The following is a 16,276-nucleotide window of genomic DNA, read 5'->3' on the forward strand; positions in this document are numbered from 1 at the left end:
CATCTGTCGTTGATTTTGAGGGCTGAAAGTGTAGGGGTAAGAGAACAGGACAGCTTCTCTGCATATATATCCTTTGCTTTTTGTTCAGAATTGGCATTTGAAATCCAAGGCCTTCTCCTCAACCTGTCCCCATCCACCCCTCCACCTTTTTGGAAGGCCTGGAAAAGTTGGATAAATGTACTTTGCAAAATTTGTAAACAGGCTTTTCCCCTTCTCATTAAGCCATTTGCTGAAACAACTACAAAAATCAACACCTATCTCAACTTCTGGTGTAACAGTAGATGAACACTTTCTAATAAAGTGTAGATACAAATCTACCTATTCTAAAACAGATGTGTATTTTAGTTCTGCTTTTCTAAATTATTCACAGTAAGAAATTATGGCATTTACAGAGTAAGCTAAAATTTGTGAATATTACAGACAAAAAAACTTACATAATTTGTCTTAATTAGAAGAAATGTTAAATTCTGCATAGAATTTAAGAACAAATAACAACAAAAGTTCAGTTGTAATGTAAAAATATTTTTCTGACATTGTTCACATTTCCCACCCTTTATTTTCTCCTTCTCCTAGCCAGATAGTGGGAATGAAAGTTAGGTTCTAAAAGCCTTTTAAAATCAAGTTTTAAGAATTTTTAAATTATATTAATTTTATGCAGAAGAATTTTCGATCCTTGCTTTCAATGCAAAAAAATAACTTTCCCAGGACTTCCCAAACCCACTGATCTTCCACCTCAGGGGCTAAGGGCACAGCCCTTTGTTACTGTCTCTAGCCTAATGTGATCAAACCTTTACCTAGAATGGAACTTTGCATAGTAGGTCGATTGTACTTTCAGCTGCATCAGACAGCTTTGTCCCTAAATTATTATTTTGCCGATGTTTTCAGGGATGAACAAGAAACAGAAGGTGTCAGCCAAGGACGAGCCAGCTTCAAGCAGTAAAAGCAGCAATACATCACAGGTGTTGTAGTGACTTTAGTGACTGCTTATGATTAGTGAACTGTGGCCTCATCAGCCAGCAGAGCATGGAAAAATAGGCTTTTTAAGTCTGAAAAATTATTTAATGTGGTCATTACTTATAAAGGAATAAAACTCACTCTGAAATGCAGTAACTGAATTGCCTCTATACAATAATTAATCAACAGATATTTATTTATCTCCCACTATAATACCAGAGATACTCCTAGGCAGTAGAGTGTAGTGATGGCCAAAAGTAGACACATATTCCGTCTCTTGGAGCCTACATCCTACTGAGGGGTATAAATAAATTAAATACATATTTAGATAGATAGAATGCTAGATATTATGAAGAAAAATAAATCAGGGAAATGAGACATTTAATGCTGTCAGGTGGAAGAGGGATCTGGGATGAATGTTAAATGGGATGGTCAGGAAAGGATACTCTGAGAAGGTGACATTTGAGTCAAGACCTACAGATGATGAGTGCGTGAGCCATGTGACTCTCTAGGAGAAAGAACATTCTGGGCAGAGAGTAGAATGACCATCAATCCCATGTTGTTTCAGAGAAAACAAGTATATTCTGGGAAAATTAAAAAATCATCTGATAAGTAGTGTGACTTTAAATTTAAAAAAAGAGAGTATAGCTAATCTAATATCTGAAAAAAAAAAAAATCCCAGATTTTCTACATGAAATGTTTCTGTAACCTCCGTGACCTAGTACATGATGCTATTAAAAAAATGGGTTGGTTTTGGAGTAGGTGATCTGAAATAATTGATTTTGATGTTTGAAAAGATCAAGCAAATTTAATTTTGTTTACCTTGAAATAAAGAGGCCAAGCTTTTAGTAAAAATAAATTTGAGTTCTAATTCTGTGTTGTAAGATTATTGAACCCTAATTTAGCATTTTTCAGTTCACTTATCTCAAGAATAATTTAGTAATGATGATGTACAGAAATTAAAAATAACTTAATATTAAGAGAGTGCAAGGAAATTGATGCTAGTCTAGATAGGCTTTTTTTTTTTGACCTGGAGCCATCTTAGTGACTATTACTTTTTAATGATGAACAGCTTTTTTCACAAAGTGTTTCATTCTGACTCTAAGTTTTAATTGTTTTTGGAATTTAGTCACAGAAAAAAGGACAGCAATCCCAATTCCTGCAAAGCCGTAACTTAAAATGCATAGCCTTATGTGAAGGTAAGTTGAAAGTTTTACAAACCTCATAGTGTTAGTTCCTAGCTCATCTATAATTAAAAATATAAGTATATTTACAGAGTGCTTACGGTGGAATAGGGAAAGCATTATTCCTTATGATCATCTCAAAGGGCACAAATGCAAAAACGGGTACCGTAGAGATCATAAAGGTTCAAACCAAATTGCAGAATTGGCAAGAATTCAGAGAGTGATATATTTTATTTCTGGCAGATATTTCCAGAATGGTAATTATATCTTTCTGATCAAGTAATGCTTATCTCTTTAGTTAATGTGCTACCTTCCTCTTAAAGTTGGTATTTGAATATATGATACTATGAAAAATGTGAAAGATGAACCAAGCACTGAGAAGATAACCTATTAGGTCTTTCTGTTCCTGCACTGAAATTATTATATTATTCTGTACTGAGGACAGAAAAATTGATGGGTGATTTGCAAGATGATATACTTTTCTTTGTTCTTGCTTTAAAATATGACTGCCTAAAAATTCATTTTTTCTTCTTGTGTTAGGAGTTTTAGTAGCTGCTGTCAACTGTCTTTTAAGTTTTCAACACACGGTAGTTATATAGGACATGAACTTGCTGTCTACATAGTTCTTAAGTCAGGACCTATCTGCTTTTGGTAATACTTAGATGAGTCCCTTTTTATTGTTATACCAGTTGTTATTCAAATTATAAAGTTGTTACATGGTCTTTCACTGTTTTTATCTATATTTCTTCATAGACAATAAGGCTAAACAATTTTTATGTGTTCATTAGTGCTTGTATTTTTGCTTTAGATTTCAACGAGAAGAGATATATTAAGTCGGAATGGACTAGGATTCCTTTAGAATAAAGTGGTTCTTTAATTTTATTTTCCACTTAACAGTGATCACCTCATCTGACCTGCACAAACATGGAGAGATATGGGTTGTCCCCAATACTGACCATGTCTGCACACGATTCTTTTTCGTGTAAGTGGAAATGCTCAAATTTGTATATTACTGTCTTTGCCACAAATGGGTTAGTGGTGACTGAATTATCGTTTGGTCTCTTTAGCTGCCAAAATATAACAGGTAATTGAGTTTAACATCAACTAATGTTTTTGTTTTATTTTCAGTAAGCCATTAAAAAAATCTAAATAATTTTTAAATGCTGTTAACTTAGAAGAGCTCATGAAAAACACCTGTTAACTTACAACTAAAAAAAACACCATCTTAGTCAAGCCTGGTGGCCCACACCTGTAATCCCAATACTTTGGGAAGCCGAGGCGGGTGGATCACCTAAGGTCAGGAGTTTGAGACCAGCCTGGCTAACATGGTGAAACGCTATCTCTACTAAAAATACAAAAATTAGCTGGGCGCGGTGGTGCATGCCTGTAGTCCCAGCTCCTGGGGCTGAGGCAGGAGAATCGCTTGAACCCAAGAGGTGGAGGTTGCAGTGAGCCAAGATAGCACCACTTACTCCAGCCTGGGTGACAGGGAGAATCTGTCTCAAAAAGAAAAAAAAAGAAAAAAGAAAAACACCATCTCTGTCTCTCTAGCCATCTCTCTGTATGTATATATGTATACATGTGTTTATACACCTCCATACACACATATACTTTTGTTAATTTTAAAAATTTAGAACTGGGATGAAGAATACAATAATGAAAAGGTCTGTCCTATAAAAGATTGATCTACATTCCATATAATACAGGCTGGCAATGCAGTACATGTCAATGTGGGGTTTTTTTTTGGCACAGCTGTATCATAAGAGTTGCATTAAAATATAAAAGCATTATTTTTCATTCCTAAATAATGGGTGCAGTAGACCAGTCTAATTTTCACTCTACCCTTGGCTTCCAACCCGTTTCCCATGCTGTTCCCACCTTATCCATGATCTTGTCACAGAAAGGATTTCAGGGAAGAGTTGAGCATATCTGTTTTGTACTTTATGTAGTATATTTAAAAGAAACTGAAAAATGGAACTGTTAAGGTTGCTTCGGTATACTGTATATCCTGAGTACCCTGTGTATTCAGCATTGGATCTGTTGGCTTGTTGACAGACTATTCACAGTGAGACTTACAAGCTGCCTGGTTTTCTTTTGGATGATTTGAAAACTGTGATTGTTCTTACCATAGATATTTGCTGACTATAGATTTCTTTCTTAACAGTGAGGCAGCAGTGAGTATAGGAGAAGGAGCCCGCTTTTGATCAGATAGTTTGAATCCTGGCTGAATAGTAATTAGTAAGATGATATTGCCTGGTTGTATAACACGTCTAAGCTTCATCGGTAAAATGATAATAATATACCTGTATCAGTCAGAATCCAAACAAGAAACAGATGACCCATGAAAAATATTTTTGGGTCATCCACAATTAGATTATTTACAAGGGTATGATTATAAGGAAACCGCAAGTCCAGTGTAGTAACCTGGATCTATTAGCACCAGAGCTGTTATACATTCCCAGGTACAAAAGGACACAGACAGGAAGCAGTCCTGTTGGGAAGCCCCATTGGCCAAAGCCTGCCAGAACTAGAGAACAATGAAGCTTATTGAGAAAGTCCTTACAGGTCAGGCTCCTGGGGCAGAACGAAGGCAGAGAAAGACTCCAAGAGGATCCTGGGGGCTCCTAGAGAAGCTAACTGCACACAGTACCTATAAAGTTTATTATGAGGATTAATTTAGCACAATGCAGGTCTTGGCCACTGAAAAGCTTATTAAATATTTTTTTCTGTCTTCTTTCTTAACTATCTTGATTGTTATCCACTATTAGATGCTTGGCCTTGCAAAAAGAAGCTTTCAGTCACCAAGTTATTTCACTGAGAAATCTTGAGATTTTGGCCGAAAAGTAACTCCAGAGTGCTTTCCTTAGCCTGTCATCTAATCAGTTCATCTACTCCTTCTGCATCTTGCTAAAATTCAAATTAATTGAGCCAAATAAACAACCTTAGATATTTAAATAGGCAGTACCATTTTTAGTATTATTTCTTTTGAACTTTTAGATAAATTATACATAAAGCCTATCTGTAGGGATGTACATGTTGCGGGGGGTGTTTACTGGAGAAAAGAATTTCTGTATTTCATAAGCAAAAATTGAGGTTAAATCATGTGAATAAAAGAGAAGTACACTCAGATACTTCCTAAATAATACAAGGAAAAATTTCGTGTTATCATATTAAGATAATTGTCATTGCTTTATGAACACAAATGAGATTTCATCCTTTTTGCACCCTCAGGAGAGAAGAGACTCATTAAGGAAAATTGATAAATTCAAAACACATCAGAAGGGGAATCTGTTTCATTAATATGCATTCTAATTACAACCATCAGTTTCTCTATAAAAGATATGATCACAGAGTTCTATTAGTAGTGAGCCACCCTAATGTGTGGTAACACCTAGAAGAAGAATAAATCGATGAGAATGAAGATAAGACAAAAACTCAATTTCTGTTCTTTTTATTTTAATTTTTTGATACATTATGTGATCCTGGATGTTAGAAGCTTTGCCTAATGACTAGGATATGAGTTAACATGGTTACCTTTTTTAAAAGTCTATTATCAGGTAACAATATTAAAAATTAAAATAACTCCCATGCTAATCTGATTCCCACAGTTGAGATGATAAAACAGTCACATAGTATGCTAAACACATGTTTTCCAGCAAGTAAGCAGCACAGAATGAGAGAAAAATTGGAGGGAAATTTTAGGGAACAGGCTGGTGCATCAGAAAAAAAATGGAAGTAAAAATTTAAAGGAAGATATCAATTAAAAAAAAAAGAAGAGAATTAGAAGTTCAAAAAATTTTTGTTGGAAAATTCCAAAATGAAGAAACTTAATTAAATATAAGTGCTCCAGGCAAAATGTAATAGATCAGATGTTATGAACAGATCCAAGCCAATTCCTAGTTTCTAGAAACTGTGAGTAAAGCTTGATTACATGACTAACCTTGAAACGCATGTGTACTAGGACATTGAGACCCATATGTAGAAATTAGGAAGCTATTTTCAAAAGGGCTGGAGATGTGAATGTAGGAATGAATAAAATGCTCACGTTATAACTGTTTGATGAGTATTTGCCCTCAAAAAGGGCTAATACCTCAAAATCAATATACAAATAGGAACCCATTATTTAAATTCCCTGGCCAACATCTCACCTTCTCCAGTCTGTGCAGTAATTTTATACATCAAAGAGACTCGAAACCTGAGCTGTAGTTTTCCATTTCTTTTTCCTTGCTCACTACAGTAGTCATCAATTCCCAAGTTTATCTTTTCACAATTTTGTCCCAATGCCTTTATTCCCATGGATATATTATTCTCTCCCCTAGAATATATCAAAAGGTCATTAGTTCTCCCTGCTTCTACTTTCTTCATCACTCTTAGCCTCCTTTGTGCAATGCAAGACTTATTAAACATTACCGTTATTACACTAGTGATATACCTCTTTAATATTCAGAAATTGAAGATAAGCCAAAAAAAGGAGAAAATTTTCCATATTATCCCCATTTAGAGTTAACTAGGATTAATCTTTTGGTGTACAGCCTACATTCCTATGCATATAAAATTCTAAGATCATACTATTTATACCATATTCATTTCCCTAAAGCAGTGTTTTGATTATTCACTGCCCAGACAGGCTGATAGTTAAATAGAAGCATGGCATTCTCCAACATATAGAGTCGCTTCTACCTTACTTCAGTTACATGCACAAACCACTGATTAAGTGAAATTCTTGTCCAAGCTGTTTCTTTAAAACAACTTGGAGTTGTATTTCCCACTATTGTGCCTTTGTTCAGTCAATCCAAATGATTTGGCCTTCTTACCACCTAGACCATTAGCCTATTTTTCAAGGCTCATTCAAACATGGTCTTTTCCTTGGCACCTTCCCTGACCTCCCAGTCTGAAATGATTCTGTCTTTTCTCTGAATTCTGCTCACCCTATGTTTGGACAGCTCAGGCTGCCTTGTCATTTTTTTTAATTTGTAGAGATGAGGTCTTAGCTATGTTACTCAGGTGGGTCTCAAACTCCTGGGCTCAAGTGATCCTCCCACCAAGTTGTCAATAATTTCAAAAGTTTTTATTTATGAAATGTTCTTACATACCTAAGAAATTTCCAGGCAGCTAAGTTTCATCTAATTTCCTAGTTTCTATTATTTTTAAAGCAAATTGGTTAATTTTTCGTTAAAATTTTAGTAATCTTTTTACACTCCTGGGAATATGAATAATTCTTGTCTCCTTTTAGACGTTTTCATTTTTCATTCTACCAAAACCCAGTCCAATGTATCATCTCCCTAGTGGTTATCATTCATGTTCTATTTCTCTTAAATTCTGTTGCTTTCCAGACATAAAAGAACTTTACTCTTAAATCATAAATAGCTGTGACATGTTCTGTATACCCTATTGTAATAAATACTCTAATACCACTAGCAACTTATGTATCTAAGCCTTGCCAGTTGCCCAAAGTAAATGGATGTTTGATTTTTCTTGATTATTATATATGCATCAAATTTAAAACACCTGAATGCCTTTGGTCAACTTTGTCCTTCAACCCATGACTGTTGTGCTTCCTTGTGGGTTTCCTAGACAGTAGAAAAATATGCATTTTATTTAATACTTTTAAGCATACTGTCTCTCTCTTTCTTTCTCTCTCTCTCTCTCTCTCTCTCTAGTTCTCACTCTTGCCTTCACTCCCACTTTTGCTCTCTGCTCTCTCTTCCTCTGTGCTCTTTCAGTCTTAAATTATTACAGTTTATGCAAAGAATTTAAATCTCATATCTTCTCCACTAACTTCTAATGCTTTTTAAGTGTCAGGGTACATATAATATTTGGGTAGACAAACCCTTCCATCTGACTGAAAAGAGTGATGGGGGAGTGATGGGGCATGACTGGAGAGGAAATCTGTATTTGAATGATGAAGGAACTCGTATTGCCAATAACTTGGATTTTGTTCTGTAAGTGAGATGGAGGCCATTTTTCTATCGCTTTTGCAGGGTGGAGAATAGATCTTGTAGGACAGATGATGGGGATAAGTGTAGAGACAGAGATCAGTTATAATGTTATAACAACATTCTAGGTCAGTTTTTCTTACCACAAAAAGAAATGTGTTTGACATTGTGACTTAGAAAAAAATAATTCTTTCTATCTGTGGTGAAGTCAATGTTCTCTATTCTATTCTATTCTGTTTGATTCGATTCGATTCAATTCTATCTTAATCACTTAAAATGCTGGTCTGGACAACCTAAATTAATTTAAAAACCCACTAGTTATACACAATCTGCAACTTGAAAACCACTCATTTAGATGAATGACAATGGAGGCCTAAACAAAGGTAGAGAGAAGATTTAAGAAAATGGAAACAAGATAGCTTGGTGATTAGTTGGGTTTAGGCACAAAGAAGAGCCAAGAATGACTAAAGGTTTTGTGTTGCTGGATGACGGTACATCAAATTGAGATATGGAGAGCATAAAAAATAGCAGTCCTAGGGTCAAAAAATAAGGGCTTTGAATATACTGAATTTGTGTTATCTGTAGCAAAGTTATATAGAGAGAAAAATTTAAGGATCGGAGATAGAGCTTTAGGAATGAGCATGTGGGTGATAGTTAAAACTTGAACGGGGCTGAAATCATTGATTTTGCATATCATGAGAGAGAGAAAACTGAGGTGTGATTCATGTATAAAACCATCATTGAAATGAGAGTCCAAGGAAGAGGATGCAATAAAAGTCATGGAGAATTAATCTCAGTAACAGAGCACTTACTGTCCTGAGAAAATATTTGTAATTGGGCTGTGTACCACATATCCCATTCTTTTTCTTAGGGTAATGTTTCACCATGAGGTGTCATTTCCATGTATATGTAAGTTGAAACTTGCTAAGTATATCTAAAACAGCGATAAGAATTAGCCAAATAGACAACCTTGGGTCATTTAGTTAAGAATTTAGACTTGGTACAAATGCAGTTATCACTTGATGGTTAAGCAGTGGATTACATAAGGAGCCAAGTTCTCTCTGCTGTATGTCATCTTTTCATTTTCCTTTATTTTGCTATTTCAGGAAAAGATAGTGGCTAGTATTAATCTTTGAGATGCTGTGCTTATATCCCTGGTTATCTGTTTTCAAGTAATTACCACTTTTCTAAAGCTTCTGTCTTGAAGCCATTTTTATGAAGTAAAATTAATTTGTCACTTGTTCCCCTCTGAATATGATCATGAAAGCTTGAAAATTCATTCTTAAGAAATTCTTATTGCCCAAGTAACTGTATTTGAGAAAAATGAATTACCATCTAAAATGTAACTATTTCTTTTTAAAGAACTTAGTAATTGCTGTTCTTTAGTATTATATTTTCCCTTCTACTGATAAAGTAAACTTAGCAGGCTTGCATTCTTTTATGAACTGCCAGAATAAATAAGAATATGTTACAGTCAGACTAAATAGTGCGACCAGTGATAAGAAAAAAGGGCAGCACTGATTATGGCTGAATAATTATTAGAAGGCAGGCATGGCAAAGAAGCAGTGGTAGAAAGTGAAGTGTCTTCAGTCAGAAAATAAAGAAATGATCGAAGTAGGAGTAGAATTAAGAAGTCCAGAATCTTAGCAACATAAAGTTGAAGCTGTTATATTTTTTTATAGTAGACTTCGTAGCAGCTGCTATGGGAAATGCCTGCAAGGCCAAAGACACTGAGAAGCTTCTTGCAACTCAGACAGTCTTTTATGCGGGGATAAAAAAAAAAAATGGAAGAAAGGGGAAAATTTAGGCATGACATAGAATGGGCTGTTCTGTGTTTCGCAATGAGAACACATTGTTAAATACACCTGAAAAACAACCGTATAATTTGCTTTTGATTCTCTTGGGCTATATTTTAGGTATCAAATAGCATTTCTAAGCTGTTTTAAATGCTGCCATCTTTTAAAATGTTTTTATATTTTTATGTTTTGTATTTCAGCTATGAAGACGGCCAAGTGGGAGATGCAAATATTAATACACAAGAAGGAGGCATTCACAAAGAGATCCTCCGAGTAATTGGTAATCAAACTGCTACTGGTTAAAGGACCACCATTTAATTAACATGATTCGAAAGCCTTCCTCGGGTTCAAAGCTGGATTTTGAACTGAAGAAGATTATAAAATTATTTATTGTTATTATAAACAAAATTAACCCTTTGAATACTGATTTTTTTTCTTAGTATTTCTAAGTATCTCATTAAATACCTAAAATGGTATAAGATTTATCAATTGTAGGGTTATGGAATCTAGTAATAAAATTTCAACAGCACTTAAACTGAAGTTTGGGTTGCTCATACAATAAACAGATTGAAAAAACTGTTTTGTGCTGATATTTTTATACTAAACTCTTTAACTGGATATTTGGTATTATATACCGACATTTTAGGTTACCAAAATAGAATTGAGAACATTTTATAATGGCATCTAAATCTATCAGATACTTTGCAATAAGTATACTGTTTGCACATTCTGATGTGCTATATCATTAGTAGTATGGGCATTCTAATGTTTTGGAAGGGGTGTTCCCTATTCTATTTTTCTTCATAAAAAAAGAAGTAGGTCTTAGAAGCAGTGCTTTGCCAAAAAGTATGTAATATACACATCTATACATTCATGCATCAAAATGTGTGGTTGTGAATATATTTGTGTATATTCACACGTATGTTTTGACAAGAAAGATGGCTTAGCTTCACAATTCTATCCTCGTTTAATGGAAAGAAGATAATATTTAGTAAGCAATAAATTTGGACATAAATCAAGATATGAGCCAGATTTACCACCATTCATTCACTGAAAATATTTGCAGACAATTTTTCTGTTTGTCTGAAGAAATTCAGCCCTTTTAAAATGTTATCTAAAAGTCATAATTTGGGGAACATACATGGCCTGGTAGACCGAATCTATATTCAAATGATTATGTATTTAAAAGAAAGACCTCAGAATTTAAAGAAACCATATATATTTTTTATTTACTACAAAAAAATTATACAATTTTATTTATGCCACACCAGCATTTTTATATTTGTTCATCTAATATCTCTGCTTATTTTTTTCATATTGAGAAAGAACACAAACTTGATGCTTCTTTTATATTAAAAGACCACAAATAAGTTTATAGAGAACAGTAACACCAGCTCTCAGCATTTCCTTTTCAAGAGTCATAATTTCATCAAAATCATTTCTTATTCTTTGAGTCCTAGAGTTCTTATTCATCAAGTTTTAATTGACAGTGTTTATTTTCCCACATGTTGTCTTTGGAATAAGGCCATTCATGAAAGCAGTTTAATTAGTGAGTCTGCCACTCTATTCAAACCCTGAATCAAGGCTCTATCTGATTTTAATTTATGTAAAAAAAAATAAAAATGTATAGTCATTTGCAAGTATAATGTGATAACTGCTGTGTTTATTTCCTTTGTCTGGCATAAAAGGTGAGAAAAAGGTCATACATGTTGTTAAGGGTAGCAGTTTAGGAAGTGTTTTCTAATAATTTGTTTTGTTATATTGCAAATAATTGATATGCCACTTATTTCTGCAAGAAAAATAGGCTTGAAGTGGTTGGGATATTAATCATTTTGATAGTATCTACTTAAAGCATTGATCTGTTTTGACTTGTGGCTCTGAACCCTGGGCTAGGCTGAGGGATAATAGTAGTGGAGTAGGGCAAAGATATAATATCCTATCCAGTGTTTTGTGACCACTTATTTGAAGATTAGTGTGGGACATGAGGACCTTGCTACTTTTTTGCCAAGATGCTGCAAGTCTCCCAAATCACTTCAACTGTGTTTTTAAAACATGTTTAAGCAACAGAATTATTTTTTTGAAATTAGTCTATACGTTAGACAGTCTATACATGACAAACATGAAGATCTAATATCAAGATTTGGGAGACGGGATCTTGGAACTCCACCTGTTTGACCACTAGGACCACTGAGGCACCTCCAATAAGCTCTGTAGAGTGCCTCCAGCATAATTCAAAATCCACTGACCTAATCCATTATGGCTTTACTTAACATTGGAGTGATCCGTAAAGAATATAGTATTGGAGTCTGAACTGGAACGGTAACTCGTAAGACTCAAGAAAGACCGTTTAAGGAAAATTGGCATAATACAAACTGTTCCTGTTGACTTAAGAATAACAGTAGGTTCACCTATCTGAGGAAATTAAGTAGTTGATAGTTTAATGCTAGGCATCTTTTATGATAATAAAGTAAGATGTCTTCTTATGACAGTTAATTGAGTTGTATCATGATACAGAATGACAGATTTTGTTTCAAACAATTGCGTCAGAACCTTTGTAAGCAAATATTCTAAGGAGAATCAATCTTATTTTTTAATTGAACTTTTTGAAATTAGGGATACTATAATAACTGATAAAGATGAATTTCTGTGTTTCTAAAGAATCTAATTTCAATTACTACCATTAACATATAAATGTGCTTCCAAAATCCAAGCAGGTCCATACAATTTAGAGATTTGAACACTGTTATCATGCTTTAATTCAGTCATTCATTAAAATATTATCTATTCACTTATTTGATGATTCCAAACATTTGATATTGTATTGTGTTTTTATAATTATTTGAAATCTGTTCACCAATGCTTTGTAATGGTTTTATTAATTGTGTAGCCATTGCTACTTAGATAGTAACCCACTGAGCAAAGGCAGTCATTTATTTTCATCCTTGAAGTAGGGGAAGAAAATTATTAATTTATTAGTTCTACTTTTTCCTGCATTGCTTATTTTGTAAACATTTTACTATGAATAATCTGTTCTCTTTCACTGTATTAAAAGGAGAAGAAAATGAACATTTGAGAATGGAAAAAAGTAATAATATACAAATAATCTAGTGCTATAAAATGCATTATAGTAAGACACTTTTGGTGTCTTCGAGTGCACTATGTTGGAATAAATTTTATACTTGTTGCTTAGTAAATCTCAGTCATACGTTTGGTTTGAAGCTGTTTTTTTTTTTAATTTGAAGTTTAATTTTAAAAGTGCCACATTGTAAAAGTTACCGTTAAATACTATGTAGTATAAAAAACCAACCCAAGCTATTGTTAATGCTCTGAATGTTTTTCTTTGAAAATTTAAGTTTAGAGAAGAAATTCCTTCATTTTTCTCCCCTTTGCTAAAAGAAAGAAAATCTATAATATGTAAGTCTATGAATCTTTAAATAACTGAAGGAATTTTAGCAGTACTTTGTATAATAAAAATATTTTTTAAACTATAACTTGCCTTAGAGCATGGGGTTTCAGAAAGTTTTGACGAAAAACTCATCTTCATTAAAGAGTCTGGATAACTTCATCAGATGGTAATTTAATATGTCATGAAGGGGACACTCAACATTGGGTCATCTACCGTCTAAATAAATACGGATTTCATGGTGGCATTTGAAGCACATTTTGCAAACATTATGATGTTCTATTGTCTTGCTGAATTCTTTATTATAACACTACCTCAAGACAAATGATAGACTGTTGGTAAGGTAAATTGGGTTTTCAATGTCAGGAACAAATAAAATTTTGCAAATAGAAGTCATCAAATAATTCAACAGGAAGACCATACTGGACACAGATGTTGTCAGTTACTTCTGGACAATGTGGTAACATGGATATTTCAGTCACTGGTAACAATGTCAGGGTTAACACCCAATGAATTATTTGAAACAATTTGGGTTGCAAAATTTGAAATTAATTAGTCTATTTTGAGATTGATTTTCTACGTGGGCCAATTTTATGTCCATTACCTAAAGCCACAATCTCCCGCTCTAAGGAGTTAAAGGATGAAAACACCCAACTGCTACACTGGAATGGCAGACTGGATATTCAAGCATTTTGGCATTTAATGCCTGCTAAATTTTTGTCCGATTATATATAGATTTGATGTATATTATTACCCAGTAAATTCTTCTTGGGAATTTTGTATACATTATGGAATATTAGGATAAGTTTTTGTAGGTCAGAAGAATTTCAAGTAGTTTTTAGACAAAACATATCCATGAGTGTGAAAAAAGCTGTGTTGACGAATAGATTACATTTCACATTTACCAGCAAGTCAGTAAAAAATAGTGCTTATTTACATAGTCAATATAATTTAATGTTCTAAAAATAATATCTTCGATCTGCCCAATATTTAATGTATCATTTGAGATTTTTAAAAATGCATCCGCTCCATTATGTAAACATTAAGATATGCCTATGTTTCTTTAACTATACAGCCTCTTTACAATAAATTTCTTGATTTTTGTGCACAGGATAGTATTGCAACCTGCTATTTAGCCTTTGGTGCCTTAGAATTATTATAAATATTTAACAATATGTACATAATGTAAATACTGCCAAGAGATCAGTAAGGCCAAATATTTTCTCTATTCACTTTTTATTGCTCTTGCTTTCTATTGCTACTAAAGCCTCTTTTATCCAGCTTTGTAATAGTTCCAACATTGTAGCGAATGTAAATGTTTACTTTCAATAAATCTGAACTTGTTCAACAAGTACGGTATATGTGGGCAGTATTTTGAAAACTCAGTTAGGCTTTAGATTCTCCTCTTGATGAACCTTGCTTCTAGGGGCTATGTATTTGAAGGTCTCAAGAAACTCTAAAAATGATGTTGCCCTTTTTGTTTTTAAAATGAGGGAAAAAAAGAAAGTCTTTTCAGTATTCCCCAGGTATTTTCAATAGATTTAAATTGATTGTATGAGTGCCGTTTTAATTTCAAATTCTCTCAAGAAGTATAGCAGTGAAACAAAAGATTCTTGTATGTTTGTACGTGTTTCAGTTTGTAACATCTGGCCATGATATCTAAAGGAGCATTTCAAATGAAATGTCCTGAATTTTCTAAGCATTTTTGACCTGATAAGTAATCAGAAAATGATTTTTAAAGCACCACTTTTTATAAGATACATCTTATTAACTGAATAAGATCTCAGTCCATAAATAAATATGGTCCTGTAAACCCATTAATAGTAAAAAATTATGAAGACCTTATTGTATATTCTTACAGTAAGTAAAATAATTTTTTATTCATGATATATTCATAACTGAGAAGCTTTAGATAGCAAACTTCTTTTGTTTGACTTGATTTCAGTTACTCTAGAAATACTTGTTGGGAGTCTAGTATGCATTTTTGACAGTAAGTATAAGGAGTAGAGAATATTAGATTTTGTCTTGCCCTTAAGGAAACTTCAATTTTTTTGTGAAAAGAAAGCAAACACATTTGGAAATAATTGTAGAATAGTACAAGATGAACAATGCAGAATGGAAAAGACAAATGCAAGCAAAACTTGGGGGAAAGAACAAACCATTGCATTCACTGAATGAAAACTGCACCCTTAATATCTTGAATCCTTAAATTAGTACTACTGAGTAATGTTGTTAATATTATTTCCATTTACTTATTCACCAGACACCTCACAACTCTAAAACAAAACCTAATACTCTCTTGGCCCTTATACTGACTGTCAAGATGCATCCTAGGTTCTTAACAAGTATTTCTAGAGTGATTGGAATCAAGACATGTACTTTGTTTTTGATAATACATATATTAGAAAGCACTTAATTTTTTGTTGATTTTTTAAATTTCTAATGATGTTTGTTACTCCCGTGACACTTATCTGTCCTCCTCATGGAAGCTGGCCAGAGCATAGTTCTAACTCTCCAGTTAACTTAATTTACCTTTCCCAGTCCCCCCACTTTTAATGACCACTGGCTAGCCTGATAAAATCACCTGTGCTTTTAAAAACCATGCAGGCTGCTTTATTGGAAAGTCAATGTTAAGAATTACTCAAAGTGTCTGAATTTATTTGGCCTCTATTTCTGTTCCCAACTTCTGGGTCCCTCTTTTTAATTATTTCAAATAACAGTGACTTGTAACATGGATCTAAGAAGACTGATCTTTTCAAAGATATCCAACATGTATATATTTTTAAAAAATCATGTATTCTTCATTTTCAGATAAAAGTTTTGATTAAACAGTTTTTACTTTATATAGCACTTTATAATTTAGAAAGCACTTTCACATAGACTGTCTTATTTTCTCTTCAAAAATAAGACAATGTAGAATGTACTTAGTAGGTATCCTGGTATCACAGATGAGAAGCTAATCACTTTCCAAAGAGGTCACTATGCTCCAAAGCTAGCATCAGG

At 33.5% G+C, this 16,276-nt stretch overlaps 1 protein-coding gene across 14 annotated transcripts in view; it reads left to right on the forward strand.

Moving 5' to 3' along the window:
- PARP8 (poly(ADP-ribose) polymerase family member 8) overlaps positions 1-14,624 on the forward strand; it is a 180,589-nt gene extending 165,965 nt beyond the window's left edge. For 13 of the 14 annotated variants that reach the window (NM_001178055.2, XM_047417705.1, XM_011543631.4 and 10 more), the window contains 4 exons: positions 886-959; positions 2,084-2,153; positions 3,036-3,120; positions 10,071-14,624. In NM_001178055.2, the coding sequence (NP_001171526.1) occupies positions 886-959; positions 2,084-2,153; positions 3,036-3,120; positions 10,071-10,173 (332 nt within the window). In that variant the 3' untranslated portion in view covers positions 10,174-14,624. The other variant, XM_011543633.4, reaches the window with a different exon arrangement.
- Positions 14,625-16,276: the final 1,652 nt, after the last annotated feature.

The sequence above is a fragment of the Homo sapiens genome, chromosome 5 (genome assembly GCF_000001405.40).
Source record: "Homo sapiens chromosome 5, GRCh38.p14 Primary Assembly".
In the NCBI taxonomy this organism is placed as follows: Eukaryota; Metazoa; Chordata; class Mammalia; order Primates; family Hominidae; genus Homo; species Homo sapiens.